At 44.2% G+C, this 25334-nt stretch overlaps 1 long non-coding RNA gene across 1 annotated transcript, besides 3 other annotated features; it reads left to right on the forward strand.

The window, feature by feature from the left end:
- LOC124902986 (uncharacterized) lies at positions 1 to 24858 on the forward strand. The gene is made up of 2 exons (XR_007063409.1): positions 1 to 2004; positions 24252 to 24858. It is a non-coding gene; the product is annotated as an uncharacterized LOC124902986 (long non-coding RNA).
- Positions 44 to 103: an enhancer, noted in NCBI's record as "active region_6774". NCBI's record gives its function as "activates an Ori minimal core promoter by ATAC-STARR-seq in GM12878 lymphoblastoid cells {active_cell/tissue: GM12878}" and the evidence as "EXISTENCE:reporter gene assay evidence [ECO:0000049][PMID:35858748]".
- Positions 554 to 723: an enhancer, noted in NCBI's record as "active region_6775". NCBI's record gives its function as "activates an Ori minimal core promoter by ATAC-STARR-seq in GM12878 lymphoblastoid cells {active_cell/tissue: GM12878}" and the evidence as "EXISTENCE:reporter gene assay evidence [ECO:0000049][PMID:35858748]".
- Positions 7690 to 7969: an enhancer, noted in NCBI's record as "active region_6776". NCBI's record gives its function as "activates an Ori minimal core promoter by ATAC-STARR-seq in GM12878 lymphoblastoid cells {active_cell/tissue: GM12878}" and the evidence as "EXISTENCE:reporter gene assay evidence [ECO:0000049][PMID:35858748]".
- Positions 24859 to 25334: the final 476 nt, after the last annotated feature.

Genomic DNA, 25334 nt, shown 5'->3' on the forward strand with positions numbered 1-25334 from the left:
CTTGCAGCCTGTTCGAACCTCGCGCGAGGACATCCACTTCTTCCACGGGGAAAGTAGGAGGGTGGGGGCAGAAAAACCAAACTCCTGCCAAGAAGGTGCTTTGCACGAGCATTTTGCGACCCCATCCCTTCAGCCCCGAACCTCCCCCTGGCATAAGTGAAAGGACTGTAGTCAATTGCAGATGCTGTCAGGAAGCCAGGTGCGTCCTCACTCCCCAGCCCTAAAATCCAAAGAAAGAAGAGATTGTTTGAGACGATCTGAAGAAAGGTCAGGTCCTAACAGATCCACGGGACCTTCTTTTTCACCTTCCTTGTCTTGGGTTCTGGAGCACGGGCGCTGAATCAGCTGAATGCGGCCTGGGCATCTGGAAGTGGTCCTGAGGGACACCTCGCGGTGCAGCCCCCGGGACGACCCAGGACACCCTGGACACCCTGGACACCCAGGCCGAGAGCCGGGACCCGCCCACGCCTCCTCACTGCTGCTCGAGGGTAGGCAGGAGCACGCGGACCCCGTGGGGGCTGAAGCGGGGCTCTGCTGCCCGCCCTGCGCAAGCTCCCGGCTCTGGTTGCTGGTCCACAAAATCGGGAGGCTGAATTAGCCGGTCGGGTGGCCCCCAGCCTTATAGCTTCGAATTCTGTGATCCTATTTTAGACCCAGACTTGTCCGCGAAGGGAAATGAAGAGGCGCGGAAGGCTTGGAGCGTGAACCAAAAAACAATGGGTGGGGATCGTCTAACCAGCTCCCTTCCCTAGAAGGGCGGAAACGGCTTTCGAAGCATCCGCGATTCTCTTTATTGAATCTTGAGTGACACCTAGTGGCCCATCCGCCTCACCGTCACGGCGATGCTGGTTTCACTGGGCTTTTCAGAAGGCGTGCTGGCCTGCCCATGGTTCTCGGCTAAAAGACTTTGGAGCGTAGGGTGCCGATGAAGTTTCCTGGGACCTTCCGGAAGCACTTGCTGTCCCGTCAACAGCCCTGTACCTGCGATGCATGCAATTCTAATGAAAATGCCCTTCTCGTCTGGAGGGCTTGCTTGAGCACATCCTGAGCTCTCAGGCAGCAAATATAGAGTCGGGTGCTATTCCGGGAGCTGGGCACACAAAGATGACCAACGCTTGGTTTCTGATCTCAAGAATCTCACAGCCCAGCTGGGGGGAAATGGACCAGTAGAAGAGTGTGTATTTGATGCTGTGGGGTAGAGGGGGTGGACCTAGCTCGGCCTAGAGACATCAAGAAAGTCACCCTTGAGCTGAGTTTTGAAGATTAGGCAGAATTCTAAGATGACCCCTGAAGATTCTCAGCCCATCCCCCTCGCAGTGTACACACACCTTTGCCCAGTTATTCAATCAAACAATTTAGGTGCTTCTGTGAAGAGAATTTGCAGATGTAATTAAAGTTCCCAAATTAATTGATCTTAAGATCTGGAGATGATCCTGGGTAGGCCTAACCTAGCCAGGTGAACCTTTGAAAGGGACTGGATTGTCCTGGCAGAAGAGATTTGACAAGCGGCAAGAACTCATCATTGGCAAGATTTTCTTTGCTGGCTTTACAGATGAAAGGGGCCACGTGGCAAGGAATGCAGGCTGACTCTAGGAGCTCAGAACGACCCCTGCCTGACAGCCAGCAGAGAAACCAGCCTTCAATCCTACCACTGCAAGAGCACTGAACTCTGCCAATAAGCAGGGAGTTTGGAAGGGATCCCCAAGCTGTATGAGACTTAGTCCCAGCTGACACCTTGATTTTATCTCTGTAGGACCCTGAAGAGAGGACCCAGTCATGCTGCATTCAGGCTTCTGACCTCCAGAACTATGAACTAATAAATGGGTGTTTTAAGCTGTTATGTTTGCAATGTGTTATGAAGTCATAGGAAACTGATACAGATGGTCATTTCAAAGAGGGGAACCACATGACAAATGCTCAGAGCCATAAAGAAGCAGAGAACTAAAGTCATTCAGAGAACTAAAGACATTCGGCATAGCTGGACCATGGGGAGCAAAGGAGACGGTAAGATGTACTCACGAGAACTTGGCTTTGGATCAGAGAGAATGTGCCCTTGGGCTAGTTAACTTAGCTCTCTGTGCCTCAGTTTTCCCAAAGGTAAAATGGAATCATAATTATAGTTAAAACATAGAGTTGTTATGTTAGTGGCCCATAGGCATATAGAAAGTTCAACACAGCCTTGGGATATAATAAGTGTTCCAAAAATGTTAGGTAGTAATAGCTTTAGTAATTAATCATGTAGTTAATGGACTGGAATAAGAAGAGGACAAGTCATGTGGTTTTTACAGAGTGGTCTGGGGACCATCTGCACTGGATGATTCCAGCGGTGAGCTTATTAAAAACCCACATGCCTGGATTGTACCTTGGTCTTACCAAATCAGACTCTCTGGGGGTAGAGCCTGAGAATCTGCACTTTCAAGAAGCTTCCAAAGTGATCTTTGTGATAACCACCAAGCAAGAAATAAGAAGACTTGTAAGTAGGTCACTGTAGTAGTCCAGGCAGGAGTGGCTGATAAAATCAAGCAAGGCACTGGCAATGAGAACAGGGAGCGGGTGTGGCACTCTTTGAGGCAGATGGAAACTACGGAACTGAGTAATCAGACAGGGGTGGTGGAAAGGAAGGAGGGCAGAGGATGAGCTGGAATCACCGTGGGGAGGTGAGTTCGGGGAGGATTGACTCAGATTGGGTCATGAGAGTCCAGACATCTGTGGGGTATCCAAGTGGAATGTCACATAGACAGTTAGAAAGACTAAAATGTAGGAGGTACATTGGTGCTAAAAATACAACGTTAAGTGTACATGAGTCCATGAAGTAATGGGATGATGCTGGCAGAATAGGAAGATGGTCAGGAACAGAACTTCAAATGTACCAGTTTTGGCCAGGTGCGGTGGCTCACGCCTGTAATCCCAGCACTTTGGGAGGCCCAGGCAGGCAATCATGTGAGGTCAGGAGTTAGAGACAAGCCTGGCAAACATGGTGAAACCCTGTCTCTACTAAATATACAAAAATTAGCTGGGCATGGTGGCACGTGCCTGTAATCCCAGCTACTTGGGAGGCTGAGGCAGGAGAATCACTTGAACCCAGGAAGTGAAGGTTGCGGTGAGCCAAGATCGTGCCACTGCACTCCAGCCTGAGTGACATAGTGAGACTCTGCCTCAGAAAAAAAGTACCAATTGTGGGCGCTGGGGGACCTAAGAGACTGAGAAAGAGCCACCAGAATGGTTGACTGGGTGTTGGGTGGACAGAAGTCCGAGGGGGTGGCCGTCAGCCAGCCTTGGAGCAGTTCAAATGGAAAAAGTCTGTGCACATGCCTGACACCTAGTCACCAGCAGATCAATGGTGGGCTCAGCAGGGCTCCTTTCAGTAGGATGAGGAAGGAGGGAGCCAGACTGCAGCCTGGGAATGTACAGAAGGCAAGGAAGTGGGGATTGTTCTTTAGCAATGTGGCTGTGAAAAAAGGAAAAAAATAGGGCAGGAATTAGAGATTCACACAGCCCTTCCTCTCCCATTGCATTGGTGCAAACCTACACACGTGACTGAAAAACATGGCTGAGCCGGGCAGCCATGTGGTGCCTGCTGAACCCAGATTGTGGCAGAAGTGGAGGGGATAGGTAGGGAGGGTGAGGCTCTCAGAGAAGGAAGGGGAGCCTAGGTGCTGAAGACCAGCGGTGCACCGATGTTTACAAGTGTAGGGCTGGACCACGAGGCCAAGAAGAAGCTGGGGTGGGGATGGGGTTTCTCTGTGGGGATGGAGGCATGGGGAGGATGGCGGTCAACGGGCCAAAGGATCACTGAGCTGTGTTGAGGGCCCAAATGGGGTTAGGGGATAAGAATCCAGTGTGGAGAAATGGTGCAACTTTGGGGAAATGTCCTCAATTATTCTTTGCCTCAGTTAGCTCATCTGTACTGTCTTAGTCCATTTTCTGTTGCTTATAACAGAATACCTGAAACTGGGTGATTTATAAATAGAAGGAATTTATTCTTACAGTTATGAAGGCTGAGAAGTCCAAGGTCGAGGGGCCACATTTGCTGAGGGCGTCCTTGCTGCTGGGAGCTCTCTGCAGAGTTCCAAGATGGTGCACAGCAGCACAGGGCCAGGGGGCTGAGCATGCTAGCTCAGGTCCCTCTTCCTCTTCTTATAAAGCCACCGTCCCACTCCCTGGATAACCCATTAATCCATTAACCCATATATAAATTAATCCATTCATGAAGCCCAAGCCCTCATGACCCAATCACCTCAAGGCTCCACCTCTCAATACTGCCATGCTGGGGATTCAGTTTCAACATAAGCTTGGAGGAGACAAATATTCACATCATAGTATGTGCCATGGAAATAATAGTAATGCCTCCCTAAGAACACCTTATAGAGGATTCCCTGAGATGACATTCAAGTGACCGGCACATAGTAGCATTAACAAATGACAGCTACCAAGAGGATTATGGTTACTATTTTATAAGTCAGATAATGACATGTCTCTGTTTAGAACCCCCTGGTCGCCTTCCATCTCACCCAAAGTGGAAGCCGAAGTCCTTAACTAGGACCATGTGGTCATGCACAATCTGGCCTGACACTTACCTTTCCCTTGGTTCCCTCTGCTCCAGCCACCCTGACCTCAATGCTATTCACCAAACACATTCCTCTACCAGCAACACTCTTATCCTAGTTGGCCTTGTGGGTCATTCCCTCCCTTCCTTCAGGACTTTGCTCAGTGTCACCTCCTCAGTGAGACCTTCCTTGATCTCCTCAGTTTCAATTTGAACCACCCTTGCCCCATCCCCAAGGGCTTCTTGCCCTCTTCCCTGCTTTCTTGCACTTCCCACTGTGGCCATGCTCAGGGTTTTATTTATGTGCTTTCTATTGTCTGCCGTGCCTAATTAGAATGCTTTTCTTTTGCTCACTGAAGTATCCCTAAGCCCTGCAACAGTGCAAATAGTTGGCACTCGGCAAATCTCGATCATGCACTAAAGTCTTGGCTCAAATGTCCCCTCTTTTAGAGAGCCTCACCTGCCATTCTATCTAAAGTAGCCCCCCAATCACCCCTTATCCCCTGACTGCTTTGATTTTCTTCATGGAACCATACCTGGTATTATATATTTGTCTATTCACTCATTGCTTGTCTCCCCAGCTAGATGCAGCAAGGTCTTAGTTGAATTGACTGGTACATCCCAAGTGCCTGTAATAACACCAGGTACAAACTAGGCACATGATACATATTTGCTGAATGATGGTGGTATCGTTGTTATTTACTGTTATTATTAATAGTGGTATTAGAAAGCAGAAGATAAGGAGTAGTTGATCCCTGAGAGTGGAGTAGGGCAGGGGAGGACTATCCTAAATGGATAGTGGAAGCTACAAGAAGGAACAAGAATACCTGCTGGCTACTCCCAGGCCAATCCCCTCTTAGGCACCAAAAGCATAGACTACACCACAGGCAACAACCAGGGTGTTTCTTGCTCTATAAATATTTGCAAGGTGAATGCACAGAAACTTCTTGGAACTTTTGAAGGAGCATCATTAACACCAATATCTGATCAATTTGTTCTAAGAGGTATGGGGCAGCACTCCATTATTAAATTGCAATTTAGTAGCTAAGGCAAGCTCTGGGATCATGTGCTCAAGAGAGAAGAAATGAAGCAGAGCACAGACAACAGAATCACGCTGCCTGGTTCAAATCTTAGCTTTGCCACCTATTTGAATAATGTCTCTGTGCCTCAGTTTCCTCATCTGTAAAATGAGGATGAATAATACCTCATACAGTTGCTATAAGGACACACACACACACAACAGTGCCTGGCATGTGTCAAGGACTGTGAAAGCTCTGGAATTTTTATCCTACTTGCAAGCTCGCAAGTTAGCCTGCCACATTTCATAGAAGCTGGTGGGTGACGTGAGACCCCTGGTCAGAAGCAAAGGACTTTATTACTCACAGCAACAGCTATAGCAGTAGCATCAGTATTTGTGCTAGTTCCCTGAGCTCAGTTCCTATGGAGTGACACAAAGGCATCACCGGCACATACAGTGGGCTGCATTACAGGAGGGGAACCCTGAGCTTAGAGAACCCAAATCTTTTATAATGGGCAGTCAGCATGCCTGCTCTTTGCTCCAGGAGAAGATACTATCTCTGTCTTCTAAGGCTGTTTGCTAATAAGCATCTTTGAAAAGATAACCCACAACAAAAAGTCAGTGCTCCTGCTCATAAGATGTGCAGAAGTAAGAGCGATCCGTGGAGAATTGCCTCTCAAGAGCATGTGGTAAGAACTTTATTATTACTATGGGAAAATGAACTTATACTACATAACTTTCTTCTGGTGACTTTAAAATTGATAGAAATTAGAGCAAATCAGGACATGGACTAAGGAAAAGTTACAAAGACTAATGGCAAGTCAAGGAATCCGAGTTAACATTCGGTGACTAGACTCCCAAATGCGTTTCACAAATGGGTTTCCAGAAAAACTGCTGTCAGCAATTGATTGTGATATGGGGCAAATGAGTTTGCAATTTCATGATGAATAATCTATCACTCCCTATCTTAGAAACTCAGGCATTCCATCTTTTTTGACAGGCAGCATGTATATTCTATTGCCAGGAAGGAAGGCAGTTGTCAAATTCCTAATTTTTCTCTTTGAAAAATTAACATTTAACTCAAACGTAAGATCTAGAGGAACACATAAGATCTTAATTACAAAGTGCAATCCAAGATTTGCACTAATTAATATGCTGATGAAAAATTCATTGAAATTCAGAGAAGAACCAAGAGGGAAAAAATTGGCCAGTGTTAACACTGAGTTCTATAAAATGTGTAAGTCTATCCAAATAGGCAGCTGCCTTTCTCGGATAATTATCATTTCATCATTCATGATTATTTTATTTGTAAGACTTTAGTTGCACATCCAAAACTATGCAGACAGAATATTTCCTTAAACTTTCTGATTTCTAACAGTTAAATTATACTAGTATATGAGGGACTTTTAAAGACCAGCTTAGTTACCTGAAATATGGGGGTTTTTTGTTTTTTTGTTTTTGTTTTTGTTTTTTTTTTAAGTGAGAGAAGCCATGTGCTTGATTCCTGGTTTTGGCATTCACTAACTGTGACCTCCCGCAGGTTGCTTAAGCCCTTTGAGCCTGTTCCTCCTATCCAAATGGGGACAATAATAATGCATGAGGTTGTGGTAAGGAATGGCTATTGTTGTGAATCAGTTGCATGCCTTCCTTTTAGTCTTCATCACACCAGACCTGGTACTAGATGGGGACTGAAATATAGTAACTGATTTGTTATTGATACAGCTGGGTTGATGAATAAGCTAGTAAGTACTCAGGCTGAAAACTGGGCTTCCACCCTCCCCAAGCCCCCAGGTCCTGAGACCTGGGAGGATAGAGATTGTATCTGCAGATCCACACCCAGGCAGCCTCAGGGAGGATGCCAGGCTGCCCACTGCCCCCCACCCCCGACCCCCATCCTCATCCATGAGGATTAGGAAAGAGAGCAGCCAGTGTAGTGAGAGGGTAAGGAAGGTCTCCTGGGTATCTGGAACTAGGACTGGAGAGGGGCCTCAGCTTGAGGCAGGCAGCATGGGTCCCTTTATGAGACCAGAGCTTTGCAGCGTGGAGGAGGAGGGAGAAGGGAGGGGTAAGGTTGTGTTCCCCTGGCCCCACCAGACAATCTCACCAATCTCATAACTGCTTCCACTCAATGGAGAGCGATCATGGGGGCAGATGTTCCTTCTGACTCATGAAGTTTCCATCTCCTGAGCAACTGAGTAAAAGCGCCCCTCCCAGGCCTCTCTGAGTCATCCAGCCCCCACGTGGCCAGTCCCCCACATGGCCAGCCCCCTCCACGGCCATCAGAGTCTCTTTCCAGAGTGAAAATTTAGTCAGTATCTCAGAGGATAAAGTCCAGCCAGACACATGAGGACTTCAGTGGTATGAACCCTGTTTCATTTCCCACGTCACATGCCCTTTGCCACACCACCCTGCCACTCCCAGCCCACCACTCTCAACCCCAAACAAGCCGTGCACCTGTTGTGGCCCAGCCCTCCCACCTAACATACCCTTGCCCCCTGTCCATTGGTCCACAGTACTCATCCTTCATGAACTACTTTAAACACCTCCTCTGCCTTGAACTGTCTCTGACTCTCACCTCCCAAGGCTGGTTTGCTCCTTATCTCCTGGGGGTCCCACACCTTGGTTTCTCTAAGCACGCACGCAGATGCCAGCTGTCTGGATTCAAATCCAGTACCTGTGTGACCTTAGGCAAGTTACATAAGTTCGCTGCTCAGTTTCCTTATTGGCAAAATAGGGATGACAATTGTACTGCATGGTGGTTATAAAGATTATACAAAAATACAAAAAACACTTATAAATTGTACTTGGCCCATACTAAGCACTTTATAAGCGTTGGCTGTTATAATCATTATTACTATTATTTACCAAGTTGGTGATTTTTCTACATCCTAATACCACTAGGTCTATTATTATTTCCTTTAAATCAACTTTATCAGTCTCCTGAGCAGTGTCTGTGGAATTACAGGTTGGAAGGGATAGTTATGTTTATATAATACAATTGAAAATAAAATACATAATGATTTAAATAAAACCTGATCATCTGAACTCCACGCCCGCCGTTCCTCACCATTATTTCCTCTCCAAGTACACCGGGAATAACACTGTTTTATGATGTTACTCAATCATTCATTCATCTGTCTGCAGAGATTATAAGTTGCATGAAGGCAGGCACCGAAGCTGGATTCATGTTTTACTCTGCAAACAGTTTACAAGTGCCCTAGACCAGGGGTCCCCAACCCCCAAGCCACGAACTGGTACCAGTTTGTGGCCTATTAGGATCTGGGCCACCAGCAGGCGGTGAGTGCAGGTGAGCAAGCATTACTGCCTGAGCTCCGCCTCCTGTCAGCTCAGCTGCAGCATTAGATTCTCACAAAAGCCCGAACCCTATTGTGAACTGCTGATGCGAGGGATCTAGGTTATGCGCTCCTTATGAGAATCTAATCCCTGATCCCCAAATCATCCCTCCCGACTCCCTCCCATTTGTGGAAAAACTGTCTTCCACAAAACCAGTCCCTGGTGCCAAAAAAGGTTGGGGACTGCTGCCCTAGACTCGTCACACACGCTTGATAACTGTTAGTGAAATGGATGAATGAATGCAGTTGACTGAAATGCATCAACTGATGTTCAGGAACCCAGAACATTCTACATGAAGGTCAGAAAATAATAAATTAAGAATTTCACAATAAACAAATTGTGAAATAAAATAGCAAATTAAGAACGGACGTGAGCTGCCACCTCCCTCTTCCCACCTGTACCCCGGGACAATGAGAATGGCCTCCACTCTTAATTTTCCTCTCTTCCCTTTCAACAGACTAACCTCCTGGCTTTTTGACAGCAAGTTGAAGGGGTTTTTAAGATGGAATGAATCTTGCAGTTGTAATGAATCAGAAATTGGGGGAAAACATCAGATTTTAGCAGCAGCAGAATTCTCTCACTGTTTAAAAAGCACTTGTCCCTTAGGCTTGGAGAGATTAGAAGCTAATAATTTGTATTGAAATCCAGCAAAGCTCTTCACAGAGTCCTATTGCTTGTCCCTGTCTTTTGAATGACAAGTAGGAAAATAGAGACTGATTTGAAAACCTAGGGCTATTTAACTAAAGCAGCAATAATTCTTCCATTAGAAACTAAGAAATGAGAAGGTAGGAATGGCCCAGACACCACAACAAAACAGATGTTGCTGGTGGAAGGCCACACCTTTTTCCAAATGAAACTCACCAGCCCTTCAAGTTGAGTTAGCTTTCTAACCCTCTGGACCTCAAAGTGGCAAAAATATTTTTACATGCTAGTTAAAATGCCCTCAAGCTACAGTCATTAGATTTGCTGGACAGTGGCATCATTCTGATGTTATCGGCTCTGTCTTCCCGTTTTCATGAATAATGTATAAGAAGCAGCTATTAGAAATGGATTCTTCCATGGCTGACAGTATCACCACCAGACAAGCCCCTGGATTCTCAGTCATTTCATCTGTAGCTCTAACAGATCTCCCTTCTTTTCCCTCTCACTGCTTTCTGCCTGCCTTTCATGGATGGAGACTCTTCCAAAGACTCCTTATCCCTGCTTCTCCCTCAATACTAGGAAACTGGCAGGGAGGCAAAAGGAGGAGCCCATTACCTTCCTGCCTTTTAACTGTTGCTCAGTGTCAGAGGAGGAGTGCTGGGCCTCCTGATGAAACCAAGTTCATCGTCTTGCCTCCTGGCCCTGCCAGCCTTGCTCTGGAGCCAAATGCCTGCCAAAAGATGCTTTTCCTTGGGCACAGGCAAGAGCTGGAAGGGAAGCTGTGCTGAGCCTCCTCTACCTGCTCTTTTTTTTTCTGTATCTTTCTATGTTTGCATCTATCATACCTTTACAAAGAAAACAAAGATCTTTAAGTCCCCTGCTTTCATTCATTCATTCATTCATTCATTCATTTAACATATTTTTCATTGTTTGTGAAGCTTCCATTGACAGAGGTGGGCAGTAATCAAGGATTATTGAGATAAATATAAAATGTTTTACAAAGAAGAGCAGCAATTTTGAGAGTGTCTAATAGAGGGAAGTAGCTGAGTTAGGGAAGTCAGTAAGGGGATATGAAGATTGAGCTAAAGAGCTCAAAGACAAGGAACCTAAAATCAGTGAATGGGATCCAGGCAGCAGAAACTGCATGTGCGAAGTCTCTGCAGCAGGAGTGGGTGTGGCCTATGTTAGAGAAACTGGAAGAAGACCTGGGGCCAGAGCACAGTTTGCTAACAGGATTCAGGGCTTCTCCAGCCCCTTTGACACTTGCCCACTTTTTTCTTCCTGTTACTGCCCCCTCCCATAGAGTCTGAGGACGGTGGTCTTGGCTCTCCTCCCAGCTTCTGATGGGTCCTACCCTCCCGGGCTCCTCTACTATTGCCTTTCAACTATTGCTGCTAATGATATGAACAGGAGACAGGGAAATACTGGGTAGAAGAGGATGGTTCCCAGGCAAAGGCCCCGCCCTCAAGCCTGGAGACTCACAGCCCTAAGTGGGAACAGGCATTTCTGTTTTCACACCCAAAAAGTTGCCTTTTGGCCTGCCAGATCCACCTATCCTATACCTGTATAAACCCTGAACCCCAGGCTCCAGAAGCATATGAGCAGAAGAGGAAATGAGGAGATGAGGGGACAAGTGGACAAACAGCACAACAGCACAGCAGAGAAAGAGAAAAGAGAAGGAGCATCTGAACGCCAAGAGGAGTCCAGCTGGGGGCGGTCAAAGAGGAGTTTGGCCGCTAGACCTCCAAAACTCCAAGGGAAGGCTATCTTCCCATTCCATCCCCCTTCCAGCTCCCCATCCATCCCACTAAGAGCCACCTCCACCACTCAATAAAACCCCGCATTCATCCTTCAAGTCCGTGTGTGACTTGATTCTTTCAGGACGCTGGGCAAGAGCTCTGGATATATACAGAAAGCTGTCACACTGGCCCACTGCCCTTGTGAAAAGGCAGAAGGCCCACTGAGCTGGTAAATACATAAGCTGTCTGTGAATGGCAAGGCTGAAAGAGCACAGTGTAACACGTGCCCACTTGGGCTTTGGGAGTCGCAGACACCCACCCCTAGATGCTGCCATGGGGCGGGAACCCGAAAGCACTCACTCTGGTTCCTGCACCTGACCTGTCAGGGGTTCGAGCAGCAGCGACCAAACAGGTGACCTCTGTCGCATGTCCTGCAAAGGGGATCAGGGAACTCTCCCGTTTCACTAACTTAGAACTTTCCTCTGTCTCTGTGCCCTGGTGTCAAACACAGAGCCTGCCACCGTGGGTGCCTGTAGTTCCAGCTACTTAGGAGGCTGAGGCAGGAGAATAGCGTGAACCCAGGAGGCGGAGCTTGCAGTGAGCTGAGGTTGCACCACTGCACTGCAGCCTGGGTGACAGAGCGAAACTCTGTCTCGGGGAAAAAAGAAAAGAAAAGAAAAGCACAATGCATGCAATGAGCCTCTATTGTTCCGGGTCCCAGTTGAAAACTTGAAAACATTCTGACCACTCAATATGAGAATGATTAAATAAACAATGGTACACACAATATTGGAGTGTCATATGATCATTAAAGGTAATGTTTCTTCAGACTAATGATCTTGGAAATGTCTCTTGGTGGAACATTAATTTTCAAGACAGAATACAAAATTCATCATAAAGCATGATCTAAATTGTATTTGGAAAAATGTATATGCAAATAAAAAGACTAGAAGCAAATTCAGCAAAATATTAACAGGCTATCTATTAGTGGCACTATTGCTGGTTTTTATCTCCTTTTTATACTACTCCATTTCTCCCAAAATGTGCTAACTTAATAAATAATTTAAGTGAGTTGATTTAATTGAACTAAAATTCAAGCACTTATTAAACACGAGGCATCACTAGCAATTTAATGATGGGCAGAACATAAACGTGGTCTCTGTCCTGAAAAATTGTTTTTATAGTTTTTTTTTTAAATTTTACTTTAAAAAGCAAGATAGGCCAAACATGGCGGCTCATGCCTATAATCCCAGTACTTTGGGAAGTCAAGACAGGAGGATCGCTTGAGCCCAGGAGTTTGAGACCAGCCTGGGCAATATAATGGGACCCCATCTCTACAAAAAATTTAAAAATCAGCTGATCGTAGTGGTGCACACCTGTAATTCCACCTACAGGAGCCTGAGGAAGAAGGCTCGCTTAAGCCCAGGAGGTCAAGGATGTAGTGAGTCATGGTCATGACACTGCACTCTAACCTGGGTGACAGAGCAAGACCTTGCCTCAAAAAAAAAAAAAAAAAAAGGAAGAAAGAATATTCATCATCACTCCTAGAAAACAAATTCTCTCCAGGGTAAGTGTTATCTAGCAGCGTCTTGAAGTGTCACCCACCAAGAGTACCAAGGACTGAACCTTGGTGAATGTCCATTTGTCATTTCTGCCCAAAGCAAGATGCTTGGAACAAGGACTCTTTCCTGGCAGTGACACAAAACTCCCCGCTCTACCACCCTAGAGTAGAAAGCCCCTTGTACCACTTACTTTATAAAATTCAGTCCCCACCTCCCTGCATGCTTACAGTCACTTCATTTCCAGCCCTCCTGAGGGTACATTTCCAAGGATTCTCTCCTGGGAATCAGCCTTCAAGGATTCTAGATGGAAATGCCACGTCCCCACGTGTCTGAAACTTGGCTCCACTACTTGCTGGTTCCTAACGGTACCCAAAGCAGGAGTTTGTGATTAAACCACAGACAAAGCACCAGCCTGAGCAAGCAAGAAAACAGCAGGAGCCCAAGGACTCCTGTGAGCTAAGAGTCTGATGGTTTTCATGCAAATTGTTTTTAGTAGTAGGGAGATAACAGGCAAATAAAATATGGGAGATAGGCAGAGATTTTTCTAAACCAGTGATGGGGGCGGGGGAGTTCTTTCATAAAATCCCAGTGCATCCTTAACAGTAAAGCTATAAAGTTCCCATATTTCTTATCGAGTGGAATAAAATTTGTCTCTCTCAGGGATCCTCCTGCTCCTCCTCTCCCAGCCTAGCACAATCAATGTCTCTTTCCCCTTCTCTAACGTTCCATCTTAGCCTTGACTGAAGAGTCTTTTTCAGAATGGCAATGCTTTCCAATGATGAAAAGCATATTATCAGAGGACGATTTTAAGTGGTAGACAAAATGAGCAATATTTATTCTACTAGCTGTCTATTTATTTTAATGCACTTAGAGTAAAATCTGTCTAGCACATGAAACCTATGATTTTATTATAGGCTATGTTGGCCTAAGTTTTTAAAAGGGAATTAATATAGAGCCAATAAAGAGAAAAGCATTCAGTGAATCATGATATGCATGGTAGGCAAACGCAGGAAGAAACTGTGATGTGGGGCCTACGTGCATGATATTTGGAAAATACGAGTAGGAATTCTGCAACAAATCCAACTCAGCTCCTGGGGAGGGGCCACAAAAATCAGACGGTTCATTGCCGTAACTCAGATGTAGACATTTCCATTTAATTCTGGATCATAAATAAGTCTTTACAGTTCTGAATCCTGGAACCTCCTGAAGTCTAAGATCTGAGTCTTCAAGCTGATAGACTTGGCCTTCAGTAGGGAGAGGTGTTTTGTTTTTAAAATCAGGAAATTTCACATAAAAATGCAGGTTTCTTGTTCTCTTTAAAAATTAAAGATCTGGAAAACCGGGTCTACATCTCTGAGTGGCAATAATCAGGTGACCATAAGCCACAGGAGTGGCTATTATCTGATACTAGGACCTACCCCTGCACTCCTGTGACTGGGGCTGCCTCAGAGACAAAGGCTAGAAAGGGAGTTCCTCCTTTTCTAAGATTTCTCTGCCCTTTCTCCACCTTCTCTTTCTTCTCTCTTCCCTCGCAATCCCTCCTCACCCATACACGTACACGCACACTCATAAACATGTACATACCTCCAGGAGATGAAGACAACTTCTGTCTTCCCTCACTAATTCCCATGGTTTATGTGCCTCAATGCTGGCCCAAATTCACTGGTAATTCCCATGTTGATTATTTATTGCCTTTTAGCTATTTGATTGGCAGAAGATCATATGAAATCATCTAATATGTTATTTTTGTGTAGGATGTGAGATAGGGGGAAAAATTCCATTTTCTCCCTAATTAGTAGATCATGAAGAATAGTAGAGTAGAGAGACAACAGACACATGAATTGGAGCCAGAGTATTTGAATTTGAATCCTAGTTTTCTCATTTCCTGGCTGTGTGATGATCATGGGCAAGTCATTTGACTTCTCTGCACCGTAATTTCCTCATCTGTAATACCAGGATGACAGTATCTATTGAATAGGATTGTTGTAAAGATGAAATTAGTGAACATATATAAAGTGCTAGACTAGAGCCCGGTATACAATAAGGGTTATACAAAGGTGGCCTATTATATGAGTAATGGTCTTCCATTCTATGAACTACCACTGGAATAAACTTTAACTCTGCACCTTGAAATTATTACATCAGTTGTATTCCTTTACCCAACACCATTTATTTAAGGCAAATAAGTGCCAGGCACTGCATAGGGCACTAGAAATATAAAAAATAAGAAAATGTTCTTGCTCTTCAAAGAGCTTCCTATCCCTAATGTATTTGGAATTTGAAGTTAAATTAAGAAAATAACACACAATCATGTTTAAATAAAGATTAAACTAAGCAAAAATCATATGATGATTGTTTAATACGAGTCTTAAGGAGAACAAATAATTAGAATCATTTCAGATTCAGTCCACAAAAATCAATCTTCCAAAAAGTAGGGACAAGATGAGATTTTGAAAGATACCCTCAGGGCCGGGCACAGTGGCTCACGCCTGTAATCCCAGCACTTTGGGAGACTGAAGCAGGTGGATCACTTGAGGTCAGGAGTTGGAGACCAGCCTGGCCAATATGGCGAAAACCTGTCTTTACTGAAAATACAAACATTAGCCAGGTGTGGTGGCACGTGCCTGTAGTCCCAGTTACTCTGGAGGCTGAGGCAGGAGAATCACTTGAACCTGTGAGGCGGAGGTTGCAGTGAGCCAAGATTGCACCACTGCACTCCAGCCTGGGTGACAGAGCAAGACTCCATCTCAAAAAAAAAAAAAAAAAGAAAAGAAAAGAAAAAGAAAGAAAGATATCCTTTAGTAAGAAGCAAAGTCTTGAACTTTGGACCAGAAGAATAAGGGCCAGAGGAAACTGATGGAGGCTTTCAGAAGATCACCAAGGGTCTGTGAGTTACACACACACACACACACACACACACACACACACACCATGTTTGAGGGAACACAGGCTAGTAATGGGAACCAGGAGAATCCATTCAGGGTTCAGAACAGGTAGAATCTGTTCAGTTCTTTTTGTGATTTTAAGTTTCTTGAATTCGCTCTGCTTAAGTATTCCTAGTACAACAGAGGCATACTATACTTTTGAAATTTACTTTTAAGTACTTTTGCAAAATCAGGATGATAACGATGCATCTGCCTGGTGGTCAGTTAACACACTATCAGGAATTCACATTCAAGGAGGTCAGCGAGGTCAGCTAGCATTATATCAGAGAGGGCCAACTCCAGAGGCAGTACTTTTCAATCAACAACTGATGATTTCTTAATTAGCACTCATCACTTTCTGGCCGTTGGCTTAGGGAATTTTTAATTGCATGATGCCTGCTAAGGGACAGAGAATCCTGCCTCAGAAGGTTTGCGATCTTTTATCCAGGTGGATCAGAGCACAGCAAAGGACAGAGAGCTGGAACTTCATCAGACCTACAAAACTGCTTGTTGCCTGTGTGGCTAAAGAATTTCTCTCTAGGCCGGGCACTATGGCTCACACCTGTAATCCCAAGCACTTTGGCAGGCCAAGGCAGGAAGGTCACCAGAACCCAGGAGTTCGAGACCAGCCTAGACAAGATGGTGAGCCCTCGTCTCTATTAAAAATAAATAAATAAATTAGCCAGGTGTGCTGGTAGCACATGCCTGTAGTCCCAGCTACTCAATAGGCTGAGATGGGAGGATCGCTTGAGCCCAGAAGGTCAAGGCTGCAGTGAGCCGTGATTGCACCACTGCACTTCAAGCTGGGCAACAGAGCAAGACCCTGCCTCTAAAAAAGTAAAATATATAAATAAAATAAAATTTTTTAAAAAGAATTTATGCTTACAACTAGAAGCATGGCAGAATTTGGCTTGAACCTTACCTTTTGTTCAATGAGGACATGAGGTTTAGGGGAAGAGATAACCCTCATCCCTCATGTTCTCTACTGCCTGCTGTTACCCTCCAAAAAGAACCTACGTGTAGTGCATGACCAAAGTGACCCATGTCAATTCCCAAGAAGGGGTGGGACTCCAGGCGCCAGGGCCCTGCCCATTTCTGGCCTTTGATTCTCTGGTGATTCTCTTCCCACCCAGCCCTAATGGGCAGGACCTGCAAGGCTCACAGATGTGACAGTAGCTGGCAGAGGTTGGCTGGCATCCTTAGAGAGCTGATATGTGAAGGGAAGCTCTCAATGGTCTTAATTTGGTTTTGAAATATTTTCCATTTGACCCTGGCTATTCCCAAGGTCCGGGGAAGGTCCTCACTAACCTAAGTGCCACCAGAAAGTCCTGTCCAGGGCTCCCATAGTCCAGCTTTACACAGAGAGGGACTCCCACCACTGCCTCTTGGTTCACCTCCTACTGAATCAGAGAGAGGGGTTGGGGCTGGGAGAAGTGGCAGGCTGGGAAGAAGAGTGAAACAGCCTAGCTGGCCCAGCCTCCAGGTGCACTGGCATTAGAACACTGAGAACAGACTGAAATCTGGATACATTGTGGGAAAAAATCAGCCTGTCCACCCTTAATAAGGCCTGGAGCAGTGCTGCCCAAAACAGCTTTCTAGCACCGGCAACCATGGTAGCCACTAGTCACAGGCAGCCAGTGAGCATTCAAAATGTGACTGGTAGGAAGCAGGAGATGAATTTCAAATTGCATTTCATTTTAATTTATTTACATTAAATAGCCACATGAGACTAATGGTTACTGTAGTGGACAGCACAGGCCTAGAGCCTGGCTTTTCTCCCTATTCTCTCAGGACCTTCTCTTAATTCTCAAATAGTCCGTTCTATGGCCAGCCCCCTCTTTTTCTTTCTTCCTTTTTCCTCCCTCCCTCCCTCCCTCCCTTCCTTCCTTTCCTTCCTTCCTGGTCTCATTCCGTCAACCAGGCTGGAGTACAGTGGCATGATCATAGTTCATTGCAGCCGCAGCCTGCTGAGCTCAGGTGATCTTCCCACCTCAGCCACCTGAGTAGCTAGGACTATAAGTGCATGCCACTATGCCAAGCTAATATTTTTTTAAGGGGGTGTTAAATTATTATTTATTTATTTTATTATTTTTTAAATTTTACAATTTTAATTGTTGTGGGTACATAGTAGGTGTATATATTTGTGGGGTACATAAGATGTTTTGATACAGGCATGCAATGGGAAATAAGCACATCATGCAGAAGGGGGTATCCATCCCCTCAATCATTTATTCTTTGAGTTACAAACAATCCAATTACACTCTTTACGGTGTTTTTTTTTTTTTCTTTTTGAGACAGGGTCTCACTATGGCACCCAGGCTGGAATGCAGTGGTATGATCACAGCTTATTGCAGCCTCGACCTCCCAGGTTCAAGTGATCCTCCCAGCCCAGCCTCCCAAGTAGCTGGGACCACAGGCATGCACCATCATGCCCGGCTAATTTTTTTATGATTTGTGGGGATCTCACTATGTTGCCCAGGCTGGTCTCAAACTCCTAGGCTCAAGTGAGCTGCCCACCTCCGACCTCCCAAAGTGCTAAGATTACAGGCATGAACCACCACATCTGGCCTCCAATATCTTGTTTTGACCTTAGATCCCTCTCCTTTCTTCAACTCTCTGGAATATTCTGGCTTGGGTGGTTCAAAAGAAGGAAACCAATGCTTCCCAAATGTTTCCCCATTAGAGATGGATAAAGTGTCAGGCTACCAGAAAATAGGGTCTTTAATGGCACATGGGAGTCATAGAATGCACATGCCCCATTTGGAACTAATACATCCAATGGTGCTATTCAAAGTAATCATAATAATGTGCTATACTCTGCTTGTATATGTGTATGGATACATCATCACAATGCATCCTGCATGTAAAGTGACCGGAACAACAATTAGGCTTCTCATTTTAAAAATTAGAAAACCAAAGTCAGCTTAGCTAAGAGAATCACATTGCAGATAATGATAGAGCTGGGACCAGCACCAGGTGTTCTGACTCCTAACTTCTCTTGGAATATTTGAGTCAGCCCTGATTAGAGAAGAAACATGACAGAAGAAGAGAGCAGACCATAATCACCCCCAATAGACTGGCCATGTCTCCAACAAGGCTCTTTTCTTTCAGGCCTGCAGGGAGTCATTTTGTACACAGTGCACAGCATATTATTTCCTAGCATTGTGGAAGCTGGAATGTGTTAGGGAATTTAAGCAGTATCTGTCTTCCAGAGCTCTAATGGGCCATCCTGATCGTTCTTGCATTCTAACTGTATTTGTAGGGATCTTATCAACGAATTTCCTTCTCATAGGATCTCTGCTCTTTGCACAATTCAGAGGTGTCTTCTTATTTAATACAATATACAACACCATGGTATTACTCTAATGGATGTTCTAAACTGAACAAGCCAAGCTTTTTTTTCCTTATGCTTCAGTTAAATTTGTTTTCATATCATTTTTCTGGATCCTCTGATTAAGCATGTCAGATTTTTTTAATTTTATTATTTTTCTGGATCCTCTGATTTTTTTATTTTATTATTTTTCTGGATCCTCCAATTATTTATTATTTTTCTGGATCCTCCGATTTATTTATTTATTTATTTATTATTTTTCTGGATCCTCCAATTAAGCACGTGTCAGACTAAGGGGTCCAAATTTTGGCTGTATATCTGAATTCATGGCACTTTATTTTAATGTAATTAAATTAATTAATTTTGAGACAGGGTCTCACTCTGTCGCCCAGCCTGGAGTGCAGTGGTTCACTGCAACTTCCACCTCCTGGGTTCAAGCAGTCCTCCCACCTCAGCCTCTTGAGTAGCTGGGACTACAGGCGTGGACCACCATGCCCACCCTTTTTTTTTTTTTTTTTTTCCTTGGTGGAGACAGGGTTTCATCATCTTGCCCAGGCTGGTGTCGAACTCCTGGGCTCAAGTGATCCTCCTGCCTCAGCCTCCCAAAGTGCTGGTCTCATAGGCATGAGCCACCACGCCTAGCCCTCATGGCACTTTAAAGAAAATACACATTCCAGGCTGGGTGCGGTGGCTCACGCCTGTAATCCCAGCACTTTGGGAGGCCCAGGCAGGTGATCACTTGAGGTTAGGAGTTACAGACCAGCCTGGCCAACATGGTGAAACCCCGTCTCTACTAAAAATACAAAAACTAGCCAGTTGTGGTGGTGGGCACCTGTAATCTCAGCTACTTGGGAGGCTAAGGTAGGAGAATTGCTTGAACCTGGGAAGTGGAGGTTGCAATGAATCAAGATCACGCCACTGCACTCCAGCCTGGGCGACAAGAGTGAGACTCCATCTCAAAAAAAAAAAGAAAGAAAGAAAAATACACATTCCAGGTTCTATCTCTTGAGGAGCTGGGATTGAGCCTGGGCATCCACATTTTTCAAAGTTCCCCCACATGATCTCAGTGCTAAAAACTGAGACTCATGGAATGTTGGACCAAAGAATCAAGAGACCCATATTCTGGTTCCTGACTTTCCTACACACTGGCCTCTCTGAGCCTGTTTCCCATTCTGTAAAATGGAGAGATAGGAGCCCTGTCCTACTTTTGTGAGTTTAAAGCATAAGAACTTGTGTGAAAGAATTTTGACAAGGAACTTTTGTATTTATGGTGGGAGGGATCTGGTGACCAGCAGTCAGACACCACCTGCAAACAGGCCTGCGATCTGGTCACTTGGTGACATTTCCACTGGGTTCTCGTGGTCTGCTTGCCTCCATCACACTATGCTAAAAATGGGTAGAGAGTGGGTGGAGCTCAGAATACTTTAACTCCAGTGTAATAGTGTGGGCAGCTTCCACTTAGTTAGGTACTTCTGGACAAATGGAAGCTTGTCTGCATGCAGCTATATTTATTTCCAAAATAACTGGTGAGATACCCCCACGAATTTGAGAACATTCATTTCTGTTTTACCTGTTTTGAGACCTTTAGACCATGAGATTAGAACGCCCCAGGCATGATCAGGAGGCAGAAGTACACAGGTCGTCTATTCCCAACCTCAGAGCTGATGCTCAGGGTAAATCCACAGCCATTCGATGTAGGGACGTTTTAATTTGGGAAATCAAATGCAGGAAAGATATTACCTTACTGTTCATTTCAAGCATCTCACACACACCATTAAATGCCCCAAACTAGGCTACTATTGAACCTTAACCACATACAAATTACGTATTTACCCAAATACTCTAACATGCTAACAATCCTTTCTTTTGAAACTTCCTGGTTTAACCGATCTGACAAACAGATCCTTCATTTCTGTTCGCTCTATTTTATTCATTCAGTGTATCACAAGTTGACCATAGCAAGACGAGAAATGCATTAAGGATCATGATTTTGCAAAGCATTAATAAGGATACTGGGACAAGGAAGTTAAGCTTTTGATGGCCTTGATACAACTATTTCAAACTTCTCTATTTCAAACTGACTTCTGCACAAGGGCACCACATCTAAAGGACCATCATTGATAGTAAACACAGTTAGTTTGTATATTTATTATGATAGTTTTCTGGCAGATGATAGTCATGTGTCTTATTCTAATAAATCAGCCCATGACAACAATTTTCCAACAGAAGTAAGCCAAGTGTCTTGAAGAAGGGGTGGGAGTGTGCCTTTTGTAATTCACACACAGGGGCAGTTTGGGCTACATGCAACCCAGAAAGGATTGTTAGCATGTTGGGGTATTTGGGTAAATATGTCATTTGTATGTGGTTAAGGTTCAATAGTAGCCTGGTTTGGGGCATTTAATGGTGTGTGTGAGATGCTTGAAATGAACAGTAAGGTAATATCTTTCCTGCATTTGATTTCCCAAATTAAAATGTCCCTACATCAAATGGCTGTGGATTTACCCTGTCCACTGATCTCTTCCCTGGTCATCCCTGATCTGGGGACAAGTCTTCTGTCAAAAAGGGGCTGAGTGAGCAGCAGCTGGGCTTTCCCTCTCCGCCCTCTCCAGAGCAGGCTCCTTGTGGTCTGCCAGCCACAACATAAAAGTGGAAGTAGTAGTCTGGCTTCTTCTTGGTCAGTTTAAGGTGAGGAGTTTTGTGGGGTTTTTTTGTTTTTTGTTTTTTGTTTTTTGTTTTTTTTGAGTTTTTTTTTTTTTTTTGGAGGTGGAGTCTCACTCTGTCGCCCAGGCTGGAGTGCAGTGGCGCGATCTCGGCTCACTGCATCCTCCACCTCCCGGGTTCAAGCGATTCTCATGCCTCAGCCTCAGGAGTAGCTGGGATTACAGACACCTACCTCCACACCTGGCTAATTTTTATATTTTTAGTAGAGATGTGATTTCACCATGTTGGCCAGGCTGGTCTCGAACTTCTGACCTCAAGTGATCCACCCGCCTCGGCCTCCCAAAGTGCTGGGATTACAGGCATGAGCCACCACGCCCAGCCAGAGCTATTTTTTTTTCTACATTACACTTTGAAAACAAAAAACTTCCCCTCCCCTTTCTCTCTGTCTTCCTTCCCTGAGCTCTGTTTGTGTTGTCCCTACTAATCCCAGGACATCCCCTGTGGAGCTGGAGCTCTTTCTTCATTTTTTCCTTTTCTCCACTTCAGGTCTTAACTTTAAAAACATCTGGGCTATTCCTATACCCAGCCCTGGGTGTCTGAACCTGTTCAGGGAGGTTAGGGTACTGTTGATTGCCCCAGACTCTGAGGTTTGGGCATGCACTTCCTGCCACCCTAGAAGTTTCAAAAAAAAAAAGAAGTGTTTCTTAGTAAAAGGGCAGTGAATTCTCAAATTCTATAGTTTCCCTTCCTCCACTTTCATATCTCAGCTACTATCAGAGTAACTTTACCCTACTTTCTCACCCCTGTCTCTGTAAGCCTGATGAAAATCAGGAAGTATATAGTGATGTAGGAGTGGCTGAACATTCTCTGGAGATGGGACACACAAACTTTAGGATCCTGGAAGAAGCTATCAGAGGATCCAGTGTTAAATTACAAAGTTTGGAGTAGGGTCACTTTTCTAAGTGCTGATGTGTTTTCAAAAGAGAAGTATCTTGTAGAGCAAGAGGATGCCATGCTGCCTGGAAGTGACCTTGGGTATAATGGGAACCCTGATACATTCATTTATTCCATTTGTTTACAACAGGTATACTTTTATTCATTCATTTTTTACAACAGGTACAGTTTCATTTCATTCATTAAGCATTTGGTATGTGCCAGGCAATTTGCTAGGAATCGAGGATAATCAGTAAACACAACTAGCCTTCGTGGAGTGAACAGGCTAGTGTTGGAGAATTCACTAGCTAGATAAACTATTCCTATGCAATTACACACAGTGTTAAGTGTTCTAAAGAGAAACACTGTGTGGAAAGAGGGAATAATATAGGGGACGCAACTTTCGACTGTGAGTGAGGGAAAGCATGTCTGAGCTGGGCTTTTAAGCTGAGACCTGCAGGATGAGAGGGAGCCAGCCTGCGGAAGGTTGCGCCAGGCAGCAGCAACAATCATACAAAGACTAAGACATGAAAACTCTAGAACATAAGTTTCGACCCTTCTCCTTTTTCCCAGCTCCTAAGGTTTCGCTTCATCCTGGCTTCTTTGTTATTTCCACTAGTAAAGTACGAGAAGCACTCAGCACCACACCTGGCATAACTAACACTTCTCATGTGCCAGGTGCTACTGGAAGTGTGTTATGTGCATTAACTCATTTAATCCTCATAACCACCCAAGGATGGAGGGTCTATTCATGTCCCTATTTCACAGATGAAGAAACTGCACAAGTCACTATGCAATAATGGCCACGATTATTATTGGAATTAGTAATTTCATCAATAATAGCACAGTGACAATTTTCAGACTTCTGGCAGACTTAATTTTGTTTATTTCTGACCTTTACACTGCTCATTGAGAGCCTCTTTAGTAGACTTCTTCCGTGTACTTTGCAAATTGTAAAAGCTTGTTTCTTTTAAAAAATCCATTATTAATGTTATTGGTGGAAAACTTTTTTAACACTGCTGGTCAGGCTTTATAGAAAAATCCCTTTCTGTATCCTCCCTCATCAGCAATACTTCTCCGAATTCCCTTCGATTCAGCAAAGGTTTATTAAGAACCTGCTAATTGCCTGGCATGACTCTGGAGATGCCAGCTCCAAAAATTCAAAGTCAAGGAAAAAAACCACACAAATAGCTGTAATAGAATAGGATATAGGCTCTGCTTGTCTTATAATCAAAATACAAATGCAAGTGATTGGGAAAAAGTATGATCTAGAGTCAAGGAGACAGCTACCCAGAAGGTGTTTTCTTAGACTTACTTTTTTTTTTTTTTAAATAAATATGTAAGTGGTCAAAAGCCTTTTTAATATGAAGATGTGATAGCTCCATATTTTATAATGTGTTGCCCTCATAAATTTGGTCTTAGAATTGTTCTGTTTTGTTTTTTCCAAATCCCCCGGTTTTTTCACTAATGACGACCTACTGTTTAGATGTAGATTGTTCTATTGTCGAATGAATTTTACCTTTTTTCCTTTTAATTTACAGGTATGAAAGCTAATCTTTGAAGACACACTTAATCAGCGAAATGGTGATTGTTGAAGGAGAATTGTGGCCTGATGCGCTAATTTCTAAGTTAAAAAGGAACATCATTTTCGCAACAATAAAGTAGTGATCTGCCCTTCCACGCAGTGTTAAGACACTTCCCACAACTCCTTCACCCTTCTCATTTAGGTAAGTACTAAAATAAACAGGAAAAGGGAACTGTACCTCTTATACCTATGCAACTGGCCCAGTGAATTGATTTCAAGTTTGCATTTGTGAGAAAAAAAAAAAGATGACTTCCTTATTTATATTTTAGTGGGCACAAAATTCCCCTTCCAGAGAGCCCTGTCTTTATCCCTCAGCCATTTTCAAAGAGCACTTTCATGCAAAGAGCAAACAGCTTCTCTAGGCGGAGAGTTTGAATTTCCTCTTCCTGAACCATTTCCTATATCTGAACTGCCCACATCTTATGGGGCAAGAACATCACAAGAGGATGTAAAGGATCCAGCAAGCTACTAACTCAGCAGACAACACAATAATGCCAGTCTTAGAGAACTAAGTGCTAAGGAGAGTTCATGGCAATGAATTCAATAAAGGTCTTTTCCAACCAGCAGCCTGATAGGACCCTTTCTCTCTTCTTGTTGTTGAACCTATCTATATAAGAACACATTTTTTTAAAGATGCATGATATAAATTGTGATTTAATTGCTTGAATAGGTGGGACATGACCTCCCAGAGCTGTGTGCATCAATGTCAAGAAAACACGTAGGGGCCCTAGTTCTCAACATGGTTGCCATGTGGTAGAGGGACCTCATAACAGCAGTTTCTAACCTGGTCTGTGAACTTGGATGGCAAAATAAAATGACATCTTTATTTTCTCTTACCTCTAACTGAAATTTAACATTCCCTGCAATTACAAATATAGGCAACAAACTAGAATAGTATCAGTAGCACCTGTGACTTTTTGTCACCAAGAGAAATCACACATCTTTCAAATCGCATGACAGTTGTTGCAGCTATCTTGATTTATACTTATTGTTACTTCAGATAATGATTAAGTATTAGAGATGTTACTAGTTTTTGTTA

Source organism: Homo sapiens, chromosome 12, assembly GCF_000001405.40.
Source record: "Homo sapiens chromosome 12, GRCh38.p14 Primary Assembly".
Classification (NCBI taxonomy): domain Eukaryota; kingdom Metazoa; phylum Chordata; class Mammalia; order Primates; family Hominidae; genus Homo; species Homo sapiens.